The sequence below is a fragment of the Homo sapiens genome, chromosome 1 (assembly GCF_000001405.40).
Source record: "Homo sapiens chromosome 1, GRCh38.p14 Primary Assembly".
Taxonomy (NCBI): domain Eukaryota; kingdom Metazoa; phylum Chordata; class Mammalia; order Primates; family Hominidae; genus Homo; species Homo sapiens.
In genome coordinates, this window is record NC_000001.11 from 62,212,329 (window position 1) to 62,239,092 (window position 26,764).

Consider the following 26,764-nt stretch of genomic DNA (forward strand, 5'->3'; position numbering starts at 1 on the left):
TACTGTATACTGTTTGCTTAAAAATTTTGATCTTACATTTTCTGAAGTACTTTGTCATACGTAGTGTGATAAGTTAAATTTTACTGCACGAACCCATTCCTGGAGAGATGAAATCTCTTCCATAGCATGTGACACTTAGGTTTTCATTTAATTATTTAAGAATGAAATGAGGCAGCCAGGTGCCATTGCTCACACCTGTAATCCAAGCACTTTGGGAGGCCAAGGTAGGTGGATTAGGAGGTCAAGAGATCAAGACCATCATGGCCAACATGGTGAAACCCCATCTCTACTAAAAATACAACAAAATTAGTCGGACATGGTGGTGCTTGCCTGTAGTCCCAGCTATTCAAGATGCTGAGGCAGGAGAATTCCTTGAACCTGGGAGGCGGAGGTTGCAGTGAGCTGAGATGGCACCACGGTACTCCATCCTGGTGACAGCGAGACTCCGTCTAAAAAAAAAAAAATCCACTTGCAATGGATGAGTAGTGAAGAAATTAAGGAGAGGGAGTGGTCTAGTCATTTAGACTGCTACTAGGACTAATTCAGTATATTCCATTTTTTTTTAACCCCAAACAATAGCATTTTGGCATAACTGGTATAATATAAAAAGGCTGGGCATGGTGGCTCATGCCTGTAATCCCAGTGCTTTGGGAGGCTGAGACGGGCGAATCACCTGAGGTCAGGAGTTCGAGACCAGCCTGGCCAACTTGGTGAAACCCCATCTCTACTAAAAATAACAAAAATTACTTGGGTGTGGTGGTGGGCACCTGTAATCCCAGCTACTTGGGAAGCTAGGCATGATAACCGCTTGAACCTAGGAAGTGGAGGTTGCAGTGAGCCAAAATTGTGCCACTGCACTCCAGCTTGGGAGACAGAATGAGTGAAATTCGTCTCAAAAGAAATCAGGCCAGGCGTGATGGCTCAATCCCATAATCCCTGTCTGCAAAGATGAGGCAGAGATTGGAGTGATACTTCTGCAAGCCAAGGAACACCATGTGTTCTCAGCAACTTTAGCTTCTCAGAAGCTAAAGGAGGTAAGGAAGGAATCTTCCCTAGATCTTCTGGTGTGAGCATGATCCTGCCAATACCTTGATCTCAGACTTCTAGCCTCCAGAACCACAAGGGAATACATTCTTATTTTAAGTCACCTAGCTTGTGGTACTTTGTGATGGCAGGCCTACAAAATGAATGCAGTAGTCACAAACCCAATTCACCTCTCAAACACCGCTGTCCCCTAGACTCATAGCCGGTTGCTGCAGAGATATTGGTGGGTGGAAGATTAGAAGAGGCCAAACCACAGGAATCTGCTTACTGATTTATTTGCAGCAGCCAGGTTGAGAGAGAAGTCTGCACCTCTGCAGTAGCCTCAACATGGATGCTTACATTGACATTTATTTTTGAGACAAGGTCTCACTCTCGCCCAGGCTGGAGTGCAGTGGCACAATCATCAGGGCTCACTGCAGCATCAACCTCCCAGGCTCAAGTGATCCTCCTGCCTCAGCCTCCCAAATAGCTGGAATCACAGGCATGCACCACCATGCCCAGCTAATTTTTTGGTGTTTTTTGTAGAGACAGAGTTTCACCATGTTGCCCAGGCTGGTCTCAAACTCCTGGGCTCAAGTGATCAGCACCACCTTAACGTCCCAAAGTGCTGGGATTATAAGCGTTGAGCCACCTTGCCTGAGCACTTTGACATATTTATACAAAGTCAAGACTTGTCTTATCTTGTGGGGTTTATTTGAGTATAGTAATTAAGCCACTTTTTTCCAAGGCTGAGGGAAAGGAAAAGAGAATTCCAGTGCAGAAAGTAGATAGAATTGAGAATCTCCTGTCCCTGCTACTCGATCAAGTCTAGGCAGGGTCCCTCTCTTGATTTTCCCCTTTATCCTCAGTCCTCACTCATTCTTCCCCTGCCTCCCAGTGTTCACCTACTCCATGTGTCATGTAAATCCTTGGAGACATGGATTTCTTCTAAAATACATCATTTTGTGAGTGTGTTCTTAATGTATGGAAGTGATTGTAGTACTGTGATAGTGAATGAAGACCATGCAAATGGGGAGAAACTTAGGCTATATATTCAGACCTTGCTCTGCCGGGCACAGTGGCTCACGCCTACCCGCAATTTGGGAGGCCGAGGTGGGTGGATCATTGGAGGCCTGGAGTTTGAGACCAGCCTGGCCAACATGGTGAAACCCCGTCTTTCCTAAAAATACAAAAACTAGCCAGGTGTGGTGGTGTGCACCTGTAATCCCAGCTTCTTGGGAGGCTGAGGCAGGAGAATTGCTTGAACCCAGGAAGTGGAAGTTGCAGCGAGCCAAGATTGCGCCACTGCACTTCAGCCTGGGCGATACAGCGACAGTCAGTCTCAAAAACAAACAAATGGCCGGGTGCGGTGGCTCACACCTGTAATCCCAGCACTTTGGGAGGCTGAGGCAGGTGGATCACCTGAGGTTGGGAGTTCGAGACCAGCTTGACCAACATGGAGAAACCCCGTCTCTACTAAAAAATACAAAATTAGTCGGGCGTGGTGGTGCATGCCTGTAATCCCAGCTACTTGGGAGGCTGAGGCGGGAGAATCGCTTGAACCCAGGAGGCAGAGGTTGCAGCGAGCTGAGATCGTGCCATTGCATTCCAGCCTGGGCAAAAAGAGCGAAACTCCATCTCAAACAAACAAACAAACAAACAAATAATTCAGACCTTGGTCTGGCAAAGGAGGCAGCCACCATCACTAGTGTTTGACAAAGACTCAGAGGCAGAGGCAGTCAGGGGGAGCAGAAAAGCTTCATAGTGAAATAAAAAGGGATGGCCTCAGGTATGTGTGTCCTCTGATTGGAAGTTGTTGGCATGGAGAGGCTAACTAGAAGCAGGACTTCTTATGTGATGGCTTTGAGGAATATATCTTTTTCTCTGCTTGGTCCTGAGTTTGGAGCAAAAATAGGGAAATTGGCCGTCGCTGACCAACTCTGACCGTTCTGGGCCAGTTGCTGCAAAGGTTGTGGTTTGGCTTCCCCAGTGATTGCTGCAGAAGTTGTTGGTGAGAGTTCTGTTGTCAAGTATGCTTTGGCCATTGTATGTTTGTATATTGAGTCTCTTCCACCTGAAGGCCTAGGATGAAATATGTATTTTCCCTGTATCCTCCCTTGCATTCTCATTTTTACCACCACAAAACCATATCCCTTCTCTGATTAGTGAAGTTGAGAATCTCTTCATATATTTTTCAGCCATTTAGAGTTTGTCTTCTGTGAATTGCTGATTAATATCTTTTATTTATTTATTTATTTATTTTGAGATGGAGTCTTATGCTGTTGCCCAGGCTGGAGTGCAGTGGCACGACCTTGGTTCACCACAGCCTCCGCCTCCTGGCAGGTTCACACAATTCTACTGCCTCAGCCTCCCTAGTAGCTGGGATTACAGGCGCCAGCCACCATGCCCAGCTGATTTTTTTGTTTGTTTTTTCTTTGAGACAGAGTCTGGCTCTGTTGCCCAGGCTGGAGTGTAGTGGCACGATCTCGGCTCACTGCAACCTCCGCCTCCCGGGTTCAAGCGATCCTCCTGCCTCAGCCCCCCTAGTAGCTGGGATTACAGGCATGTGCCACCATGCCTGGATAATTTTTGTATTTTTAGTAGGCATGGGGTTTCGCCATGTTGGCCAGGCTGGTCTCAAACTCCTGACCTTAGGTGATCTGCCTGCTTCGGCCTCCCAAAGTGCTGGGATTACAGGCGTGAGCCACCGTGCGCGGCCCGAAAATTTTTGTATTTTTAGTAGAGATGGGGTTTCTCCATGTTGACCAGGCTGGTCTCAAACTCTTGACCTCAGGTGATCCACCTGCCTCGGTCTCCCAACGTGCTGGAATTATAGGCATGAGCCACCATCAATGTTCTTTCATCAATTTCAAAAACAAACACCTCTTTTCTTTTTATTGCTAGTTTGCAGAAGTTCCTCATATATCTGGGTAGTAATCCCATTTTTTTTTATTGTTTTTATTTTATTTTTCTTTTTTCTGAGACGAGTCTCGCTCTGTTGCCCAGGCTGGGATGCAGTGGTGGGATCTCGGTTCACTGCAGCCTCCACCTCCTCGGTTCAAGCAATTCTCCTGCCTCAGCCTCCTGAGTAGCTGGGATTACAGGTGTGTGTCATCACGCCCAGCTAATTTTTGTATTTTTAGTAGCAATTCACCATGTTAGCCAGGCTGGTCTTGAACTCCTGACCTTGTGATCCACCAATCTCGGCCTCCCAAAGTGCTGGGATTAGAGGCGTGAGCCACTGAGCCCGGTCAATGATCTTTTTTTTTGAGACGGAGTCTCGCTCTGTTGCCAGGCGTGAGTGCAATGGCGCGATCTGGGCTCACTGCAACCTCTGCCTCCCGGGTTCAAGCAATTCTCCTGCCTCAGCCTCCCGAGTAGCTGGGACTACAGGCACGTGCCACCGTGCCCGGCTCATTTTTTGTATTTTTAGTAGAGATGGGGTTTCACCATGTTGGTCAGGATGGTCTCGAACTCCAGACCTCGTGATCCACCCACCTCATTCTCCGAAAGTGCTGGGATTACAGGTGTGAGCCACTGCGCCAGGGCCCGGTCAGTGATCTTAAATTTCAAATGGTTCATCTGTGTTTTTCAAACTTACGTTATTTGTATTTTCGTGTATTGCCTTCAGGTGTTTTTTAAAAATTTTTATTTTTAATTGTGCTTGCAATCACATAAGATTTAACTCGACATCTTAAACATTTTTTTTTTTTTGAGACGGAGTCTTGCTCTGTCGCCCAGGCTGGAGTGCAGTGGCGCTATCTTGGCTCACTGCAAGCTCCGCCTCCCAGGTTCACGCCATTCTCTTGCTTCAGCCTCCCGAGTAGCTGGGACTACAGGCGCCCGCCACCACGCCCAGCTAATTTTTTTTTTTTTTTTTTTTTTTTTTTTTTGAGACGGAGTCTCGCTCTGTCGCCCAGGCCGGACTGCGGACTGCAGTGGCGCAATCTCGGCTCACTGCAAGCTCCGCTTCCCGGGTTCACGCCATTCTCCTGCCTCAGCCTCCTGAGTAGCTGGGACTACAGGCACCCGCCACCGCGCCCGGCTAATTTTTTGTATTTTTAGTAGAGACGGGGTTTCACCTTGTTAGCCAGGATGGTCTCGATCTCCTGACCTCATGATCCACCCGCCTCGGCCTCCCAAAGTGCTGGGATTACAAGCGTGAGCCACTGTGCCTGGCCGACACCTTAAACATTTTAAGTGTACGGTTCAGTAGTGTGCTAAGTATATTCATATTATTGTGCAACAAATCTCTACAACTTTTTCATCTTGCAAAACTGAAACTCTATGCCCATTAAACACTAATTCCTCCTTCCCCCTACTTCTAGCAATCACCTTTTTACTTTCTGTTTCTATGATTTTTCTTTTTTTTTTTTAGGGAGAGAGTTTCACTCCATCTCCCAGACTGGAGTATAGTGGCATGATCTCAGCTTACCGCAACCTCCGTCTCCTGGGTTCAAACGACTCTCCTGCCTCAGCCTCCTGAGTAGCAGAGAATTACAGCCTCATGCCACTACTGCCCAGCTAATTTTTGTATTTTTAGTAGAGACTGGGTTTCACCATGTTGGCCAGGCTGGTCTTGAACTCCTGACCTCAAAGGATCTGCCCGCCTCGGCCTCCCAAAGTGCTGGGATTACAGGCATGAGCCACCGTACCCAACTTGTTTCTGTGATTTTTTAACTATTCCAGATACCTCATGTGAATGGACGGATACAGTATTTGTCCTTGTGTGACTGGCTTATTTCACTCAGTGTGACGTCCTCGAGGTTCAGCCATGTTGTAGCATGTGAAAGAATCTTCTTTTAAAAAGGCTGCATAATATTCCTTTGTATGTTTATACCACATCTTCATGTACTCACCTTTAGATGGACGTTTTTGTGGTTTTCACCTCTTGGATATTTTGAATAATGCTGTAATGAACATGGATGTGTAAATATCTTTTTGAATTCTTGCCCCAAAATGGAATTGCTGGATCATATGGTTTTGTTTTGTTTGTTTATTTTTTGAGACAGAATTTCACTCTTGTTGCCCAGACTGGAGTGCAATGGCATGATCTCAGCTGACTGCAACCTCCGCCTCCCAGGTTCAAGCAATTCTCCTGCCTCAGCCTCCTGAGTAGCTGGGATTACAGGTGTGCGCCACCACGCCCAGCTAATTTTTTTGTATTTTTAGTAGAGACGGGGTTTCACCATGTTGGTCAGGCTGGTCTTGAACTCCTGACCTCAGGCGATCCACCTGCCTCAGCCTCCCAAAGTGCTGGGATTATAGGCATGAACCACCCTGTCCAGACCAGATCATATAGTAATTCCACTTTTAATTTTTTTTTTTTAAACAGGGTATTGTTTTGTCACCAAGGCTGCTATGTAGTAGCATGATCACAGCTCACTGCAGCCTTGGCCTCCTGGGCTCAAGTGATCCTCCCATCTCAGCTTCCCAAGGTACTGGGATTTCAGACATGAGTCACTGCATCCAGCCTATTTTTAGTTTTTTGAGGAACCTCCTTACGGTTTTTTACAGCAGCCACACCATTTTACATCCCCATCTACTACCAGATTTGTAAAGAAATAGAAACATCCTAGGGACTTAGAAGCTCCCAGCCCACGTGTCCTTGTCTTTTTTTTTTTTTTTTTTTCTTGAGATAGAGTCTGGCTCTGTCACCCAGGCTAGAGTGCAATGGCAAAATCTTGGCTGACTGCAACTTCCGCCTCCCAGGTTCAAGGGATTCTTCTGCCCCAGCCTCCCCAGTAACTGGGACTACAGGCGCACGCCATACTGCCTGGCTAACTTTTGTATTTTTAGTAGAGATGGGATTTCACCATGTTGGCCAGGCTGGTCTCGAACTCCTGACCTCAAGTGATCCACCTGCCTTGGCCTCCCAAAGTGCTAGGATTACAGGCATGGGCCACTCATTACACCCGGCCATGTCCCAGGCAGCATAGGAAGAGAGTTAGAGGGTACCTGTAGATCACCAAATTCTTGCAACCACCTCGCCTGGCCTGAAAGGAGACTTCTTAAGGGAGGTGATAACTGAATCAAGTCCTGAAGGATCCTAGGACTTAGCTCAACAAGGGCAGGAAAAAGGGCTTCCAGATAGAAAGAATAGCCTGCCGGGCGTGGTGGCTCACACCCGTAATCCCAGCACTTTGGGAGGCTGAGGTGAGCGGATGACGAAGTCAGGAGTTAAAGACCTGCATGACCAACATGGTAAAACCCCATCTCTACTAAAAATACAAAAATTAGTCGGGCATGGTGGCGAGCGCCTGTAGTCCCAGCTACCTGGCAGGCTGAGGCAGGAGAACTGCTTGAACCCAGGAGGCAGAAGTTGCAGTGAGCTGAGATCACACCCCTGCACTCCAGCCTGGGCGACAGAGTGAGACTCTGTCTCAAAAAAAAAAAAAAAAAGAGAAAGAATAGCCTGAAAAAACCTAGAGGAGAGAGGAGGACTTGTTTTTTGAGATGGAGTTTCACTCTTTCACCCAGGCTGAAGTGGCACGATCTTGGCTCACTGCAACCTACGCACTCCCCGCCTCCCCTTGGGTTCAAGCAATTCTCCTGCCTCAGCCTCCTGAGTAGCTGGGATTACAGGCATGCGCCACTACACCTGGTTAATTTTTGTATTTTTAGTAGAGAGGGGGTTTCATTATGTTGGCCAGGCTGGTCTCAAACTCTTGACCTCAGGGGATCCATCTGCCTCAGCCTTCCAAAATGCTAGGATTACAGGCGTGAGCCACCGTGCCCGGCTGGAGAGAGGACTTGACTCATGCAGAGAATTATTTCTCCTTTAGTATGGCTGGGGCTTAGAGATATTTAAAAATCCATATTTTTTACTTCTCTATTATTAGCTTTTAAATGACAGTATGCAGACATTTAAGTTTTCTGTATGGTAGTATAAAAACAGGGCAGCAAAACTCCAGGCTGTTAGGGATTGTGACATCTATCTCTCCTTTCACTGCAACAATGGAGGATGTGAACTCAATACCGGTGGCCCAAATATTTTTATGCCAAGAAAGACTTTCCTTGACTTGATAGAGTTTATGGTCTTAGTGGGAAAACCAGACATTAAAGAATGTTAAGGCTTCTGAGTTATATGAAAGGGACAATACTGTGTTCTCTGAACACCTGAGAAAGAGGACTGAGGAGCCTCACACTTCAGATGAGACATTGAAGAAGTCTAGAGATGTTATTATACAACATCCTGACCCAAGTCTATAAACAAATAGGGATATTTCAATTATTTGCTTAACTTGCATAAGAATATGAAAAGTAGGCCGGGCATGGTGGCTTGCGCGCATAGTCCCAGCACTTTGGGAGGCCGATCACCTGAGGTCGGGAGTTTAAGACAAGCCTGACTAACATGGAGAAAGCCTGTCTCTACTAAAAATACAAAATTAGCCGGGTGTGGTGGTGCATGCCTATAATCCCAGCTACTTGGGAAGCTGAGGCAGGAGAATCGCTTGAAACCCGGAGGTGGAGGTGGCAGGGAGCCAAGATCGTGCCACTGCACTCCAGCCTGGACGACAGAGTGAGACTCCATCTCAAATAATAATAATAAGCAATTAAAGCTGCTAAAAGTCAATTATTTATTTATTTATGTTTTGAGATAGAGTCTCGCTCTGTTGTCCAGGCTTGAATGCAATGGTGCGATCTCGACTCATTGCAACCTTCACCTCCCGGGTTCAAGCAATTCTTGTGCCTCAGCCTCCCTAGTAGCTGGGATCACAGGTGCTGGATAATTTTTTTTGTATTTTTAGTAGAGATGGGGTTTTGCCATGTTGGCCAAGCAGGTCTCGAACTCCTGACCTCAGGTGATCCGTCCAACTTGGCCTCCCAAAGTGTTGGGATTACAGGTGTGAGCCACTGTGCCCGGCCAATTTTTAAATTAAATCTTTCCTCTAAAATAACCATTGGACCTTGCAGCCATTTTGTTTCTAATCACCATATATACAAATGTAAATTTTTATGAATAAGAATTTCCTTTATTTAGTCCTACCCTCCTTCTCCACCCCACCCTTATGGTAGGACAGGCTAGCAAGACTGGAATTAATAGACCAAAGGGTCTGGTCATTTTATGGCTTGTGCTACATATTATCCATATTACTTTCAAAAACAGAGTTAGTGATTTATACTGTCTCAACTGAGAGAGCTGGCTTTTCACCTCTTCCTGTCAACAAAGGGCATAATTTAAAACACATTTTAATGAAGAAAAAAATGGTACCTTGCGATGCTCAATGTTGACTTCTAGTGTGATTAGAACACCTCTGTTTGTATTACTTCCACCATACTGCACTCATCTAGCTATGCAAATTGGGCTTTTAATTTTGTATCTTTTTTTTTTTTTTTTTTTTGAGGCAGAGTCTTGCTCTGTCGCCCAGGCTGGAGTGCAGTGGCATGATCTCGGCTCACTGCAAGCTCCACCTCCTGGGTTCATGCCATTCTCCTGCCTCAGCCTCCCCAGCAGCTGGGACTACAGGCGCCTGCCACCACGCCCGGCTAATTTTTTTTTGTATTTTTAGTAGAGATGGGGTTTCACGGTGTTAGCCAGGATGGTCTTGATCTCTTGACCTCGTGATCTGCCTGCCTTGGCCTCCCAAAGTGCTGGGATTACAGGTGTGAGCCACCACACCCGGCCTTTTTTTTTTGAGAAGGAGTTTCACTCTTGTCCCCCAGGCTGGTGTGCAATGGCACAATCTTGGCTCACTGCAACCTCTGCCTCCTGGGTTCAAATGATTCTCCTGCCTCAGCCTCTTGAGTAGCTAGGATTACAGGCATGCACCACCACACCTGGCTAATTTTTATATTTTTAGTAGAGATGGGTTTCACCATGTTGGCCAGGCTGGTCTCAAACTCCTGGCCTTAAGTGATCTGCCCACCTTGGCCTCCCAAAGTGCTAGGATTACAGGCATGAGCCACGGCGCATGGCCGAATTTTGTATCCTTAAATGTGCTTTATGCTGGGCGTGGGGGCTCACGCTTATAATCCCAGCACTTTGGGAGGCTGCAGCAGGAGGATTGCTTGAGCTCCGGAGTTTAAGACCAGCCTAGGCAATATAGTGAGACCCTGTCTCCACAATACATTACAAAATCTGGCCAGGTGTGGTGATGTGCGCCTGTAGTCCTAGCTACTCGAGAGGCTGAGGTAGGAGGATTGTATGAGCCCAGGAGGTCGAGGCTGCAGTGAGCTGTGATCACACCACTCCACTCCAGTCTGGGTGATGAAGTACACCCTGTCTCAAAAACATAAAAATAAGGCCAGGCGTGGTGGCTTACGCCTGTAATCCCAACACTTTGGGAGACGGAGGCAGGCAGATCACCTTATGTTGGGAGTTCGAGATCCGCCTGGCTAACATGGTGAAACCCCATCTCTACTAAATATACAAAATTAGCTGGGCATGGTGACGCACACTTGTTATCCCAGCTACTCAGGCTGAGGCAGGAGAATCGCTTGAATCTGGGAGGCGGAGGTTGCAGTGAGCCGGGATCATGCCACTGCACTCCAGCCTGGGCAACAGAGTGAGACTCTGACTCCAAAAAAAATAAAAGTTAAAAAAATGTGGTTTATCTTATTTTTTTACAGGGCTAAAGAACTGGGTCTATTTCACCCACCATATCTTTTATTCCCTCTAATTTCATGTTTTCAACTTTTTCTTTAATTGGCTTTAATTCATTTTTGATTCATTTGTATGAAGTGTCCTTTATTATATCTGCTTGGGGTTTATTTTTTTTTTCCTTTTTTTTTTTTTGGAGACAGAGTCTCACTCTGTCGCCCAGGCTGGAGTACAGTTGCATGATCTTGGCTCACTGCAACCTCTGCCTCCCAGGTTCAAGCAATTCTCCTGCCTCAGCCTCCTGAGTAGCTGGGATTACAGGCGCCCACCACCATGCCCAGCTAATTTTTTTTTTGTATTTTTAGTAGAGACAGGGGTTCACCATGTTGGTCAGGCTGGTCTCAAGCTCCTGACCTCAGGCAGTCCACTCGCCTCTGCCTCCCAAAGTGCTGGGATTACAGGCATGAGCCACTGTGCCCGGCCTCATTTATTTTTAAAAGTTACAAAAATGGAATTAAATGAGAAGACAGACATCAGACAAGATGATGATAGTTAAAATTTAAGGGGAAAAATAAGACTCCAAGAAAAAGATACAAACCAGCCCTTTTTATCTTTAATTAAATAGAAAATACAAACTAATTCTTTTAACTTTTATTTATTTATTTATTTATTTATTTTGAGACAGGGTCTGGCTCTGTCACCCAGGCTGGAGTGCAGTGGCACGATCTTGGCTCACAACTACCTCCGCCTCCCCAGGCTTAAGCAATCCTCCCACCTCAGCCTCCCAAGTAGCTGAAACTACAGGTGTGCGCCATCACCCCCAGGTAATTTTTGTACTTGTTGTAGAGATGAGGTTTTGTCATGTTGCCCAGGCTGGTCTCGAACTCCTGGGTTCAAGGGATTCACTTGCCTTGGCCTCCCAAAGTGCTAGGATTACGGGCATGAGCCACTGCGCCCGGCTACTTTTATTTACTTTTTGTTAGAGGTAAAAAGAGAATAAAGGTGGCCAGGCACGGTGGCTCACGCCTGTAATCCCAGCACTCTGGGAGGCCAACGTTGGGAGATTACTTGACCGCAGGAGTTTGAGACTTGCCTGGGCAACATAGTGAGACTCTGTCTCTATTTAGAAGAATCAATATAAAAGAGTAAGATAAAGAACTACCCGTAAATATGTATTAAGAGATTGTTATGGACTGAATGTTTGTGTCCCCTCGAAATTCATATGCTGTAGCCCTAACCTCCAATGTGATGGTATTTGAAGGTGGGGCCTTTGAGAAGTACTTAGGTTTAGATCAGGCCATGATAGTGGACGCCTTGCAGTGGATTAGTTTCCTTATAAGAGGAGGGACAGAGAGCTCTGTCTTTATGAGCACACACCAAAGAAAGGCCATGTGACCATACAGTGAGATGTCAGCTGTCTGCAAGCCAAGAAGACGGCCCCACCAGAACCTCACCATGTTGGCACCCTGATTTCAGACTTCCAGCCTCCAGAATGGTGAGAAAATAACAGCCTGTTGTTTAAGCCACCCAGTCTATGATACATTCTTAAAGCAGCCTGAGGTGACTAAGAGAGAAGTTTACTAGGAATGGGTATAGAAATTTTATTTAAATGTATTTTCTGGGGTTTTTTTTTGTTTTTTTTTTTTTTTTGAGACAGAGCCTCGCTCTGTCACCCAGGCTGGAGTGCAGTGGTGCAATCTCGGCTCACTGCAACCTCCGCCTCCCGGGTTCAAGCGATTCTCCTGCCTCAGCTTCCCGAGTAGCTGGGATTATAGGCACCTGCCACCATGCCCAGCTAATTTTTGTATTTTTGGTAGAGACGGGGTTTCACCACGCTGGCCAGGGTGGTCTCAAACTCCTGACCTCAGGCGATTCGCCCGCCTCGGCCTCCCAAAGTGCTGGGATTACAGGCGTGAGCCACCGCGCCCAGCTGTGAAATGTATTTTCTTTTTTTTTTTTTTTGAGACAAAGTCTTGCACTGTCACCCAGGCTGGAGTGCAGTGGCGCGATCTCGGCTCACTGCAACCTCCATCTCCCAGGTTCAAGCAATTCTCCTGCCTCAGCCTCCCAAATAGCTGGGATTACAGGCGCCTGCCACCACACCTGGCTAATTTTTGTATGTATTTTGAGACGGAGTCTCGCTCTGTCACCCAGGCTGGAGTGCAGTGGCGTGATCTTGGCTCACTGCAACCTCTGCCTCCCGGGTTCAAGCGATTCTCCTGCCTCAGCGTCCTGAGTAGCTGGAACTATAGATGCACCCCACCACGCCCAGCTAATTTTTTGTATTTTTAGTAGAGTCAGGGTTTCACCGTGTTAGCCATGATGGATTTTTGTATTTTTAGTAGAGAGAGGGTTTCACCACATTGGACAGGCTGATCTCGAACTCGTGACCTCAAGTGATCTGCCCACCTCGGCCTCCCAAACTGCTGGGATTACAGGCGTGAGACACCACGCCTGGCCAAAAGGTATTTTCGTTGTTTTTTTTTTTTTTTGGTTTTTTGAGACAAGGTCTCACTCTGTCACCAAGGCTGGAGTGTAGTGGTGTAATCTCGGCTCACTGCAATCTCTGCCTCTTGGGTTCAAGCGATTCTCGGGCCTCAGCCTCCCTAGTAGCTGGAATTACAGGCGCATCCCATCATGCCAGGCTAATTTTTGTATTTTTAGTAAAGATGAGGTTTCGCCATGTTGACCATGCTGGTCTTGAACTCCTGACCTCAAGTGATCCGCCCACCTTGGTCTCCCAAAGTGCTGAGATTACAGGTGTGAGCCATCACTCCCAGACTAAATGTATTTTCAACATTAATAAAGGTGATTATATATATAGTTTCTCTTTTGACTTAATAATTACATTACAAAATTTCTTTCTTTTTTTTTGAGACGGAGTCTCACTCGGTCCTCCAGGCTGGAGTCCAGTGATGCGATCTTAGCTCATTGCAACCTCTGTCTCGGTTCGAGTGATTCTCCTGCCTCAGCCTCTCAAGTAGCTAGGATTACAGACACCCGCTACCACACTCAGCTAAGTTTTTTTTTTTTTTTTTTTTTAATGTAGAGACAGGGTTTCGCTATGTTGGCCAGACTGGTCTCAAACTCCTGACCTCAAGTGATCTGCCCGCCTTGGCCTCCCAAAGTGCCAGATTACAGGCGTGAGCCACTGCGTGTGGCCCAAAATTTCTTAATATAGCACCATCTTTGATTCTTCAATTTCTGGAATAAACTCCACTTGATCTTGTGTATTATTCTTTTTTTTTTTTTTTTTTGAGATAGAGTTTCACTCTTGTTGCCCAGGCTAGCGTGCAATGGCACAATCTCTGCTCACTGCAACCTCTGCCTCCCGAGTAGCTGGGATTATAGGCGTGCACCACCACGCCCAGCTAATTTTTGTATTTTTAGTAGAGACAAGGTTTCACCATGTTGGCCAGGCTGGTATCAAACTCCTGACCTCAGGTGATCTGCCCAGCTTGGCCTCCCAAAGTGCTGGGATTACAGGTGTGAGCCACCATGCCCAGCCTGCTGGCACACATTCTAAAGAGAGCCAACTGGCACAACCTGAGGACTTCTGAGAGGACCAGAGCACCAGTGGCCTCCCCATCCACCTTCCCTCCCTTCTCCTCCAGGTTACCTAAGGGAACCCCAGAGGAATTCAAGGAGGATGGGGTGATTCTGAAGCTACGGTCCAGCATGGCATGCTATGGTCTTGAAGCCTATGAAATTCACTCTTCAACAAACTTGGCATCTACGTTAAGCATGTGAATGTACAGAGTTATCAATCAACAATAGCCTTTAAGATTATTGTAATCCCCTAAGTACTTCGGCCCCAGGTAGCCACCCACTGCTGGATGTCAGAGGACATCACGGTGCTCTTTCCTGCCTGCACCCCTAGTCTGGAATGCTTACCCCACATCTCTGCTGAGTGAACTCCTTCCTATTCATGCTTCAAGACCCAGCTCAGTCCTGGCTCAGCTGACCCCTTGGTTCCTGTGTCTGTTCCCTGCTGGGCTGTGAGTGTTTTTATATTTTGTTTTTCTTATGTCCATTTAGATTTGAATATGAATGTTTTATTTTATTTTACTTATTTTTTTATGTTTCTTTGAGACAGAGTCTTGCTCTGTTACCTAGGCTGGAGTGCAGTGGTACAATCTTGGCTCACTGCAACCTCCGCCTCCTGGGCTCAAGCAATTTTCATGCCTCAGCCTCCCAGTAGCTGGGACCACAGGCACCCACCATCATGCCCGACTAATTTTTTTTGTATTTTTAGTGATGGCCTCAAGCGATCCTCCCGCCTCAGCCTCCCAAAGTGTTGGGATTACAGGCGTGAGCCACCACAGCCAGCCTCGAATGTGAGTGGTTTTTGTTGTTGTTGTTGTTGTTGTTTTTTGAGACAGAGTTTCGCTCTTGTTGCCTAGGCTGGAGTGCAGTGGCACAATCTCGGCTCACTGCAACTTCCGCCTCCCAGGTTCAAGCGATTCTCCTGCCTCAGCCACCCGAGTAGCTAGGACTACAGGCATGTGCCACCACGCTCAGCTACTTTTGTTTTTTGTTTGTTTGTTTGTTTGTTTTAGTAGAGATGGGGTTTCACTTTGTTGGTTAGGCTGGTCTTGAACCCCTGACCTCAGGTGATCCGCCCACCTAGGCCCCCCAAAGTATTGGGATTACAGGAGTGAACCACTGCGCCCGGCCTCGAATGTGAGTGCGTTAAAACCCAGATCGGGTCTGATTGGGGTTGGCACCCAGGTGGCTCCATAATTGTTGCTGTCCTGAATTATTGCCCTCTTTGCTACTTGGACCGAACCCCATCTTGGGACCACCGACTTCCTCTGACTCCTGGTCAGGCTCCTGGGCGGCAAATCCTGGCCCCTGGTATGGTCCCGCCTGCCTCTCTGTCCCCTTGTCTACCTGACCAGACCTCTGAACTTCAAGGCCTGGATGCCCTGTCTCTCCTCCTGTGAGGCTCTGTCCTACCTCATGTTGGGACCTAGGGCGCTCTGTTGTACAACTCCAGGGAGCACCATTGTGTCTTCTGTAAATGGCAGCTCCTGGAACACAGTGAGCCCTCAATAGGGCATGTCAGCTGTGGGCTCAGACATCCTTTGGGTCTGGCAGTGCTCCATTTCATGTGCCCTGTCACCCTCACCCCTCTTTTTCCATCCCACTTCTCCTAGCTGGACCAAGCTAGGCGTCATCTACAAGCCCGGTGTGCTGACCAGGGAATGTGTGGGGCTTGGGGCATGGGGACAATAAATAACATCACTTTTCTCATTTCCCAGGCAGGTAACCAATTGAAAGATAAGATACCATAGACAGACATCAACTTTATTCCTGACTAAAGCTCAAAAGAAGGGCGTGGCGTAGATTTACAGTGACCATCCTAACACTCACGCGCAGAGTCACACGGTCCCACACTGGGCTGGACCAGCCCTGCTAAGCCCACAAGAGGTGGGGAGAACAGCAGCCGCTTCCTCTTTGTGGGGCCCAGGCCTGAGCTTCCCTCCGTTCCTGCCCCGGATCTGACCACTGGGATTGTGGGAGAGGGTGTCAAAGGACAGTTTTCTCCCATAGTTTTCCCTTCCAGGGAGAAGAGTGGAAATCCCCTCATCTCAAAGGCAACATGAGATTGGAGAATGTACTCTCAAATCCCCAAACAGCAACAGAATTGTTCTGCTTGCTTCAGAGCAGAGGCTCCGCAGCCCTTTCCAGACCTCTCCCAAGCGTGGAAATGGACGAAGGGCTGGATGGGGCTCAGAGGGGAGGTCAGGCGGGACTCCCTCAGACAGCAGCTGGGGTTCCTCTGTTCCAGGCCCAGCTCTCACTGAAACAGGAGAGGGTGTGAAGGAATGGATTTGGAACTGTCAAGAACTCCTTCCTTAGTGGGCAGTGGAGGTAATGCAGGGTTCAGACCATCTGTGCCCTGGACAGAGGCCTCTTTCTTCCCCAGGAATGCTAAGCACATGGGCATCCTGATACCTCAACTCCTCCAGTCCCAAATACTCTGCCTGTTTGTCCCCTTTGTCCTGAGCCACCCCGTAGGACCTGCAGGTCAGGCACTGACTTCATGTCAGGTCCCCGAAGCAGTTTTGTTCTCTCAGCAGTGTCCACTGGCCTGCAGCCAGGCACCTCTCTCCCCCAGCCTGGGTCACTGGCAAGGGAGCAAGAAGAGTTCTGGGCTCACAGCAGGCAGTGGAGTGTAGTCACAGAGCCTGATCCGGCTTGAAATCCCAGATCCTTTGCTTACTAGGCTGTGTGGCCTTAGGTGAGTTACTTAATCTCTCCGTGCTTCAGTTTCTGCATATGTAAAACAGGGATAATATCTAGCTCACTGGGTTATGATGAGACGTAAGTAACTTCATACAAACCCCTTAGGACTGATGCCTGGGCATTTCTAAGTACTCAGTGAAGGCAAGCTGCTGTTTTTATGGGCCCAGGTCTAGGAAAAAAGAATCAAACAGCCAGGGGAAAGGGGATGCTCTCCACTGTATATTAAGTTCTATCATAGGGACCATTTTAGCTAAACACAGAAAAACAGAGGAGGGGGCTGGGTGTGGTGGCTCATGCCTGTAATCCCAGACCTTAGGAGGCTGGATTGCTTGAGCCCAGGAGTTCGAGACCAGCCTGGGCAATAAAGTGAGACCCCCATCTACAAAAGATACAAAATTTAGCTGGGTGTGGTGGCGCATGCCTGTAGTTCCAGCTACTAGGGGGCAGGGTGAGGTGGGAGGGTAACTTGAGCCTGGGAGGCAGAGGTTGCAGTGAGCTGAGATTGCATCACTGGTCTCCAGCCTGGGCGACAGAGGGAGATCCTATCTCAAAAAAAAAAAAAAAAAAAAGACAGAGGAGGAACAAGGAACAATTATCCCCCATTTTACAGATCAAAAGCTGAGTGAAGCAGTGGTCCAGCTGGAATTCAACACCTGAGATATCTGACTCCAGATACCAGCCCTTCCTTGCTTCCCACTAGCTGCCTAACCCAGAGAGGAGATTGGGAAAAGAGAAACAAGTTACAGAATTCAAGAGTAGGTATCATCTGGGGTCTTCCTGAAGGAACAAGTGTTGCTCCAGAGAAGCCAGAAATTCTTATCTCTGCTTTGCTCTAACCACCTCTTTAGGCTTTATGACTGAAGAGTCCCTTTGGCCCCTTAACTCCACAAGGCTGACCCTGGTGATCAGCAGCTGAGATCTACATGATACAGTCCAGACACCAGAAGGAGACTGAATCTCTCTCCCAAATCTCAGCTCTAAAATTCCCAAGAGAGGGCCTCATGGGTCCAGGCAGTGTCTGGTGTCCGTCCTGCAATGGCCAGGAGCCAGGTTTTCTTGTAGGAGTGTGACAGCTCCTCCTGCAGTCGGGGATCCTGGATGGGGCTGAGGAGAAGTTCCAAGGCAAGGAGGATTGGCATCTGCTCCATAAGTGCATTCTTCTCTTTGCACTTGATCTTTTATCTACCTCATAGATAGATCCTTCTTGCTCACACTTTCAGCCTGTCCTTTTTTTTTTTTTTTTTTTTTTTTGAGACAGGGTCTCGCTCTGTCACTCAAGCTGGAGTGCAGTGGCATGAACTTGGCTCACTGCAGCCTCCACCTCCCAAGTTCAAGTGATTCTCCTGCCTCAGCCTCCCAGGTAGCTGGGATTACAGGCGTGTGCCACCACACCTGGTTAATTTTTTTGTATTTTTAGTAGAGATAGGGTTTCACCATGTTGACCAGGCTGGTCTTCAACTCCTGACCTCCCCAGTGATCCACCCACCTAGGTCTCCCAAAGTGCTGGGATTACAGGCATGAGCCACTGTGCCCAGCGCTTTCAGCCAGTTTGACCTCTACTCATGCAAATTTTACCTTTCCCTTTATGCCTCACTCCACCTCACGGCTTCACTCTCTTCTCCCTGATCGCACCCCACTGTGACTGCCTGAAATGCCACATGTTTCTTCATTCAGATTTCTCAGATAATTCAATGGTTCCACCCATAATTCCACACCTGGCCACTTCATAGACAATGACTCACTTAAGGACAGGCTGCCTCAGGGTGCACAGCCTGTATTCAGGAATCTGCTAGAGCAACACATAGCTGTACCTTCTGCAAGGCTGTGGGCTGGATGACTCCACTGTGGGCGTGGAACACGGGCTGGTGTCATAAGGAGACATTCTTTATGCCTTAGGCATTGAAAGGATACTCCTTCCAAAAGGCCTTTCCCAGCGTTTCCCCCTGAAATCCACTAACCATAGCATTTCACTGTTGACACTGCCATATAGTGCTAAGTGCAGTTGTCTAACTCCTACTGCCACAGAGATTCAAGTGTACAATGGCTTACACGTGTGAGAAGATTATTTCTTGTTCAGATATCAAATGCAGAATAAGCAGTCCAGAGAGGAGATGACAGCTTTATGGTGTTGGGGACCTATGCTCCTTCTGACTTGCTGTTCTATCATCCCTTGGACGGTGGCCTCATCTCCTTGGATCCAGATGGATCACTACCACATTCCAGCCAGTGGGAAGGGGGAAATGCATTTCCTTTTCCTTTAAATGCGGGAGCCAGAGTTTGCACACCTCACTTCACTCACACCTTGCCAGCCAGAACGTAGTTACAGGGTCACATCAAGCTTGAAGGAGAGCTGGCAAATGAAGTCTATTTTGGGTGGCCATGTGCCCAGCTAAAAGTTGGGAATTCTATTATTAAAGAGGAAGAGGAAGAGAAGAATGCATATCCCACCATTCTGTCACCGTTTTTGACTGCTCTCCACTCACTATCCAGTCTGTCACATGCTGGCACATCCCATTCCTGATGCCTTTCCTATGGGGCTCTATTCTTCATCCCCACCAATACCACCATGCATTGGGCCCTTCCTGCTTTATACCCACTGTCTCATTAGAACGTCCTAGCTGATCCCTTTGCTTTCAGTCACCTTCTGTGATCATTCTATTAATAAATAGCAAATCTGATCATATGCCCCTATTGTTTAGAAATCAATGGCTCCCCACTGCCCATAGCAGTAAGATTTTGAATCCTTTTTTTTTTGAGACAGGGTCTCATTCTGTCACCTAGCCTGGAGTGTAGTGGTGAGATCACAGTCATTGCAGCCTTGACCTCCTGGGCTCAAGTGATCTCCCCACCTTAGCCTCCCAAGTAGCTGAGACTACAGGCACACATCACAACGCCTGGCTAGTTATTAATTTTTTTTTTTTTGTAGAGATGGGATGTCACTATGTTGCCCAGGCTGGGCTCAAGTGATCCTCCTGCTTCAGCCTCTCAAAGTGTTGGGATTACAGGTGTGAGCAACTGCATTCAGCTGAGTGCAGATTTTTGAATCCCTGAAGTTGTATGCAAATTTTGCCTTCTTTTTTTTTTTTATTGCAAAAACTTTTTTTTTTTTTTTTTTGAGATGGAGTCTCACTCGCTCTATCACCCAGGCTGGAGTGCAGTGGCACAATCTTGGCTCACTGCAACCTCTGCCTACTGGGTTCAAGTGATTCTCATGCCTCAGCCTCCCGAGTAGCTGGGATTATAGGCATGCACCACCATGCCCTGCTAATTTTTGTATTTTTTAGTAGAGATGGGGGTTTCACCATGTTGGCCAGACTGGTCTGGAACTCCTGACCTCAATGGGTCAGCCCACCTTGGCCTCCCAAAGTGCTGAGATATACAGGCGTGCGCCACTACGCCTGGCCATTTTACTTTTTCTTTCTTTTTTTTCTTTTAGAGATGGGGTCTCAATCTGTCACCCAGGCTGGAGTGCAGTGGTGCGAAAATAACTCACTGGACTCAAACAATCCTCCTGCTTTAGCCTCCTAAGTAACTAGGATTACAGACATGTGTCACCATGCCTGTCTATTTTTTATTTTAAATTTTTTTTTGTAGAGATGAGGTCTTGCTATTTTGCCCAGGCTGGTCTTAAACTCCTGGCCTCAAGCAATCCTTTCGCCTTGGCCTCCCAAACTTTTTCTGTTGAGGCCTTTGCATTTTCAAAGGGGTCTGTTATTCCCCTCAAGTTACAGGCACAAGTCCAAATTCCAAGTATCCATGTACGAGTGTGGTATGTTTCCTGACCTCCCTTTCACGTCTCCTGTTTAGTCACGTCTCCTGCGTAACTGAAACTAAAGTCATTTTGAAATTGTCTCCATTGCCCAACAGGTCACACTTTTTCTTTTTTTTTCCTTTTTTCTTTTCGTGATGGAGTCTCACTCTGTCGCCCAGGCTGGAGTACAGTGGCGTGATCTTGGCTCACTGCAAACTCCACCTCCCGCATTCAAGCGATTCTTATGCCTCAGCCACCCGAATAGCTGGGATTACAGGCGTGAGCCAGCGTGCCCAGCCCAGGTCAGGTCATGCTCTTTCACATGCCACATCTTCCATCCACCTGCCGTTATATCTAAACTCCTAGGCATCGTTATGGCTTGGCTGAAAAGCCACCTCCTCTGGGAGGCGTCCTTGACTCCCTTTGTCCCACTCAGTCTCCACAGCTCGACTCAGGCCTCCAACACTTGTCACATTTCATAGTGGTCGTTAGCTTACACCTGCCCCCCACCAACAAACCATTAACTCTGGAGCCCAGGACTCTGAATGGACACTCCACAAATGTTTATTGAATAAATGTCACTCATGCTAAAAAAACTGGAGTGCTGTTTCTAACATGTGAATCTGAGCATTGCTTCCTTTTTGCGGAGGAGCGGGGAATGGTGTCTGGCTGTAACCCAGGCTTGAGTGCAGTGGTGAGATACCGGCTCACTGCAGCCTCTGCCTCCCCAGTTGAAGCGATTCTCCTGCCTCAGCCTTCCAAGTAGCTGGGATTACAGGCACATGCCACCACACCCAGCTAATTTTTGTATTTTTAGTAGAGATGGGATTTCACCATGTTGTTCAGGCTGATCTTGAACTCCTGACCTCAAATGATCTACCCATCTTGGCCTCCCAAAGTGCTGGGATTACAAGCATGAGCCACTGTACCCAGCATAGGCACATTAATATTATTTGAATGGCCCAAATCAATGTTCTCTCTTGTTTTGGAGCTTTATTCTTGCTTCTTCCTCTGCCTGGAACGTTCTCCTGCTCCTCTTTGCCTGGCTAGCTCCTACGTATCCTTCAGATAGTTAAAATATACCTCAGGAAGTCTTCCTGGATCCCCTCCCCACTTCTAGGTGAAGGGGGTACTAGGCTGAGGGCCCCATCTATGCACACCCCCAGCACCCTATGTTCGCCCAGTTGCAACGTGGCTCTCACTGCAAGGCGGTGGCTCATTTGTCTTCCTTCCCTGCTCACATGCAGTGCACTCTGTGCCTAACTCACCCGCTGGCGTAGCCCCAGCCTCAAGCACAGCACTTGGAAGGGAAGAGGTACCTGATAAATGTGTTAAATGTGGGTTAGAGGAATGGATTTCTCCATTTTAAATCTTGATTTCAATACCTTTCTGTTGCCTTTGGAATAAAGCCTTACCACAGCTTTTACAGCACTTTCTGATGTGGTCTCCATGTAATTTTAGTCTCGTCTCTTAAAAATATACCCTTTGATTTCAGTGTCCCACTCAAACATGGTAGCCACACTGAACTGAATGAAGGCCCCCAAATGCCTGCTTTCCCTTCTTCCAGCCTCTGCAGTGAAACTGCCATTGCAAACTTGTAACAGACAGTGAAAGAGATCTGACCTAACCAACTTCATCTTGCTTCTAACCTCCAAGCTGTCCTTGTTGGTTCCTGGGCACAGGCTGAACTGACTTTGGGAGAAAGTTTATAGTTTAAAACAAAGACGATAACAGCCCTTTCCCAAAACAAACCTCCTTCTTGCCTGGGGACTAGACTGCCTTTGCAGGACAAGAAATTAGCCACAAGATTAGAAATTATGGTTTAGGAGTCATGCAGCTGGAGACTACCAGGTTCTGACCCTCCCTAAACTGCTCCTCAGATCAGTGCTTGAGACATTTTGCAGACCCTGCACTTGATGGATCGGCTGGCACCACCCAGATCAATAAACTGGCTCATCTGATCTTGCAGCCTCCACCCAGGAACTGACTCAGCGCAAGAAGACAGCTTCGACTCTGTATGAGTTCATCTCCAACCTGACCAATCAGCACTCCCGGCTCACTGGCTTCCCCCCATCCACCAAGTTGTCCTTAAAACTCTGCTCCCCGAATGCTTGGGGAGACTTATTTGAGTAATAATAAAACTCTGTTCTTCTGCACAGCCAGCTCCGCATGAAATTACTCTTTCTCTATCGCAGTTCCCCAGTATTGATAAATCGGCTCTGTCTAGGCAACCGGCAAGGTGAACTCACTAGGCAGTTATGGCAGTACTCTTCTGCCTGGCACACTCACCTCTCATTCCGCTTCCTTTTCTGCCTAACATCCAGTAATCTTTAAGTTCATTGGCCCTTTCTCCAGGAAGCCTCCCTTGACTTTCTAAGGCCAGCTCTGGTGCCCTTTAGTGGTACCTCTCTGGGCTTCCTTCTGACCTTCTATGTGTTTTCCCTAGTGGATGATGAGGCAAGAGACTGAACTGGACTCACTGTGATGTCTCTAGTGCTGGGAACAGTGTCAGGCACCTGGCCGGTTTATAAATATATACATATACATTTGAGACAGAGTCTCGCTCTGTTGCCTAGGCTGGAGTGCAGTGGCATGATCTTGGCTCACCGCAACCTCTGCCTCCCGGGTTCAAGCAATTCTCCAGCCTCAGCCTCCTGAGTAGCTGGGATTGCAGGCGCACACCACCACACCTCGCTAGTTTTTAAAAATATTTTTGGTGAAGACAGGGTTTCATCATGTTGTCCAGGCTGGTCTCTAACTCCTGACCTCAAGTGATCTGCCCGCCTCAGCACCCCAATCAATAGATATTTTTAAATGAATTTTAGAGCTGAGGGACAGTGACAGGAAGGCAGGCTGTGCTTGTTCATCTCACCACACTCTGAGCTCAGACATTCCAAAGGAAAGAAATGGTTATAAAGGATGAGATCATATGCTCATGTCCAAAACTCAAGATTAAAATAAAATTATTAAAAATCTCAGAAAGGATGGACAGTCTTTTGATAGTGATGAATAAGTAATCTTCAAGCTCTAGGAAACCCAGTTTGCTTTTCCTGGTAAATAAGTTGTTTTTAATATGATTTCATTTTTTTAAAGTGACCCAATGAAAATTGCCACCTAATATGAGATGCAGAAATAAATCCTAAACAGGCAACACAGGACACAGACCCCATACTGCTGTCTGCAGAGACAATAGGAAATAAGACCCGCACTGCAAATTCCCAAGAACCAAGAGCAAAGATATGCAAAGAAATTTTGAGACAGAAGACTGAGAGGCAGCATTTTAATATAACAAACAATAAGGATAGGCCAGAGGCTTGCTACTCAAAGTGTGGTTGTGGCTCGATAGCATCAGCATCTCCCAGGACCTGGTTAGAAATGCAGAATCTCAGGCCCCACCCCAGACCTACTGCCTTCTAACAAGATCCCAGGTGATTTGTATGCACATAAATGTTCGCGAAGCACCGGGCTAGAACATTTATTAACGTAGGATGTTGCTCTTACAATGTATTTTGAGGTCAAAATAAACTCATTTAAAGCATTTTTTTTCTCATTATTTGCTCCATTCTCTCCACCTCTGAGTTGCATCAACACATGTCATTGTGTTCTGGGACTCTGAGCCTCTCTTATGAATCACAATGGCAAAAGAAGTTTGCTGTACCATTGCTGTAGATGGCCTTAATGGGTTACAAATTGGATTTTTTTTTTTTTTTTTTTTGAGACAGAGTTTTGCTCGTTACCCAGGCTGGAGTGCAATGGCACGATCTCGGCTCACTGAAACCTCCGCCTCCCGGGTTCAAGTGAGTCTCCTGCCTCAGCCTCCCAAGTAGCTGGAATTACAGGCGCCTGCCACCACGCCCCAGCTAATTTTTGTATTTTTGGTAGAGACGGGGTTTCTCCATGTATGTCAGGCTGGTCTCAAACTCCCGACCTCAGGTGATCCACCTGCCTCGGCCTCCCAAAGTGCTGGGATTACAGGCGTGAACCACCGCGCTCGGCCACAAATTGGATTTTGAAACTTCCATCAGCTGCTTCTTGTGCAGCACCTCCCAGGAGGTAGGTTGTATGACAATTTCTGTTTTTAGAGATGATGAAATTGCGGCCCAAGGAGGTTTCATGACTCACCACAGGGGCACCCAGCAAATTGGCATCTGAGCCAAAATGAGAGTGCAAGCTTTTGAGTTTCCAATGTAAAGCTCATCAAACTTTGACATTACTTCTTTTTATATAAGGGGCTTTTTTTTTTTTTTTTTGCATAAGAGATTTTAAGAGAGCAGATTTAAGAAAGATTCAGATGACTTCACGTGAGCTACTGACCATATAAACCTTGCATGTGCTGGCCCCAGGGAATATGGAAGCTTCGGAAGGTATTGCTCTGCCCTGCCTGGGTCCCTTGCTCCTATTGCAGCCAGAAGTCCCAAAAAACCTCAGAACAGATATTTGCTTCTAGGGGATATGAGGGGAAAGCACCGGGAATTACCATGAGGTAATGGATACGGCTATGCAGGTGGCTTCTTGATGACAATAACCCATCCTCAGGAGGAAGCTTTTTTTTGTTTCTTCCACAGACTCAAAATAGCTGAGAGAATCTGACTCTGCCCAAATACATGTGGTGTGTGTCATTGGATTGAATTTCTTTTTTTTCTTTATTACATAGCAACTTACTAGATAATAAATTTCTTAATTAATTCCAATTTCCCTGGAGCAAATTGGAGCCACTAGATGACTCAGAAATAGTCAAGACTGTACATATGGCATTGATGCCAAAGTGCTTCTTCTACCCTGTCAGATTTTAAGATTTCTCTGTCAACCCCATCGAAACAAAGCTCCCAAATGGTGCTTGTTCAGTTTCACCAGTCTGCACGGTGATTCTTCTAGGGTCCCCTACAGAATGCTTGCCAGGGGGTTGGCTTAAATCCCCTCCCATCTATAGACATGCATATCAATGGGACATATTTGTATACACTTGCTTAAAAAACAGAAAGATAGTGCACTGTAAAATTCCATGTAAAAAGTATTGCTTTTCTAATGTGCTAATGTGCTCCTGCCTGCCTGCTTGCTACACAATGTTACAGAGGGTAGAGTCATGAGGAATTCAAGGCTGAAGATGTTTTGGATGTTTGGATGACACCGACGTACCCCTCACCTTGCACCTTGAACCCTGCTCTGAAGCCCGTGTAGTTTTCAGGCTTGGCCTAAGGCAAAAACTACAAAGCATCCTAATGAGCAGAATTATACAACAGGAATGTATGTGCATATTTGACATAGTTTCTTCTCTAGAAGGGTGGCTCTCTGGCCTGTGACCTCTGCCCTCTTCAAGGGCGAGGGAGGAGTCCAGAGAAGAAGGCTTTTGTTCCCCACGGCCAGTTCTTCTGCAGCCCCTACAGCCCCAGGGACCTGCCCTGCTCCGCGTGGGCTCTCAGAAGCCCAGCAATTTCCATATGGGTGGGTGACTTCAGAGCGATGGACAAAGCTGTGCGGCCAGCCTACAGGAGAAAAAGGAAAGAAGAAATAAATATCATCCAATCTGCCTCCTGCCTGGGGGAGAAGGGCAAGTTGGGAGTAGAGGGTATGCCTGGGACACAGGTGTCTATTAAGGCTTCCAGAGACCTCGGTAGAGAAGATTCGAATGGCATGAGGATCACCAGAAATGCGGTCCCTTCCACAGAAACAATAGTGACTCCTGGGAAATCTGTGACAACAGAAATAAAGAAGGGCCATCTAGTTTTTAATGCTCTTTTTTTTTTTTTTTGAGATGGAGTCTCACTCTATCGCCCAGGGTGGAGTGCAGTGGCGCAATCGGAGCTCACTGCAACCTCCGTCTCCTGGGCTCAGGTGATCCTCCACCTTCAGCCTCCCAAGTAGCTGGGATTACAGGTACACACCATCATGCCTGGAAAATTTTTGTATCTTTTGTAGAGACGGGGTGTCACCATGTTGCCCAGGCTGGTCTCAAACTCCTGGGCTGAAGTGGTCCGCCCACCTTGGCCTCCCAAACTGCTGGGATTATAGGTGTGAGCTACTGAGCCCAGCCCCACTTTTTTCTACTTTAAATTGGAAAACAGGAAATAAAATAACTCTTGCTGTTCCATTACATGTATCTAAGTGAAAGTTCGCATTTTGGTGTGTTTTCCTCCAATCTTTTCTCCTGTGCAAATTTGTTGTTGGTTCTTTTTTTTTTTTTAATTTTTTAAACC

At 47.1% G+C, this 26,764-nt stretch overlaps 1 protein-coding gene across 9 annotated transcripts in view, besides 2 other annotated features; it reads right to left on the reverse strand.

The window, feature by feature from the left end:
* Positions 20,440 to 20,940: an enhancer, noted in NCBI's record as "H3K27ac hESC enhancer chr1:62698440-62698940 (GRCh37/hg19 assembly coordinates)". NCBI's record gives its function as "activates a minimal SCP1, AML or CMV promoter by ChIP-STARR-seq in primed H9 embryonic stem cells {active_cell/tissue: H9 hESC(primed)}" and the evidence as "EXISTENCE:reporter gene assay evidence [ECO:0000049][PMID:30033119]".
* Positions 20,941 to 21,441: an enhancer, noted in NCBI's record as "H3K27ac hESC enhancer chr1:62698941-62699441 (GRCh37/hg19 assembly coordinates)". NCBI's record gives its function as "activates a minimal SCP1, AML or CMV promoter by ChIP-STARR-seq in primed H9 embryonic stem cells {active_cell/tissue: H9 hESC(primed)}" and the evidence as "EXISTENCE:reporter gene assay evidence [ECO:0000049][PMID:30033119]".
* The window catches only part of KANK4 (KN motif and ankyrin repeat domains 4), an 83,270-nt gene continuing 80,342 nt past the window's right edge, over positions 23,837 to 26,764 (reverse strand). For all 9 annotated transcript variants that reach the window (NM_001320269.2, XM_011540845.4, XM_017000483.3 and 6 more), the window contains one exon: positions 23,837 to 26,053. In NM_001320269.2, the coding sequence (NP_001307198.1) occupies positions 25,949 to 26,053 (105 nt within the window). In that variant the 3' untranslated portion in view covers positions 23,837 to 25,948. The remainder of the gene's footprint in view (positions 26,054 to 26,764) is intronic.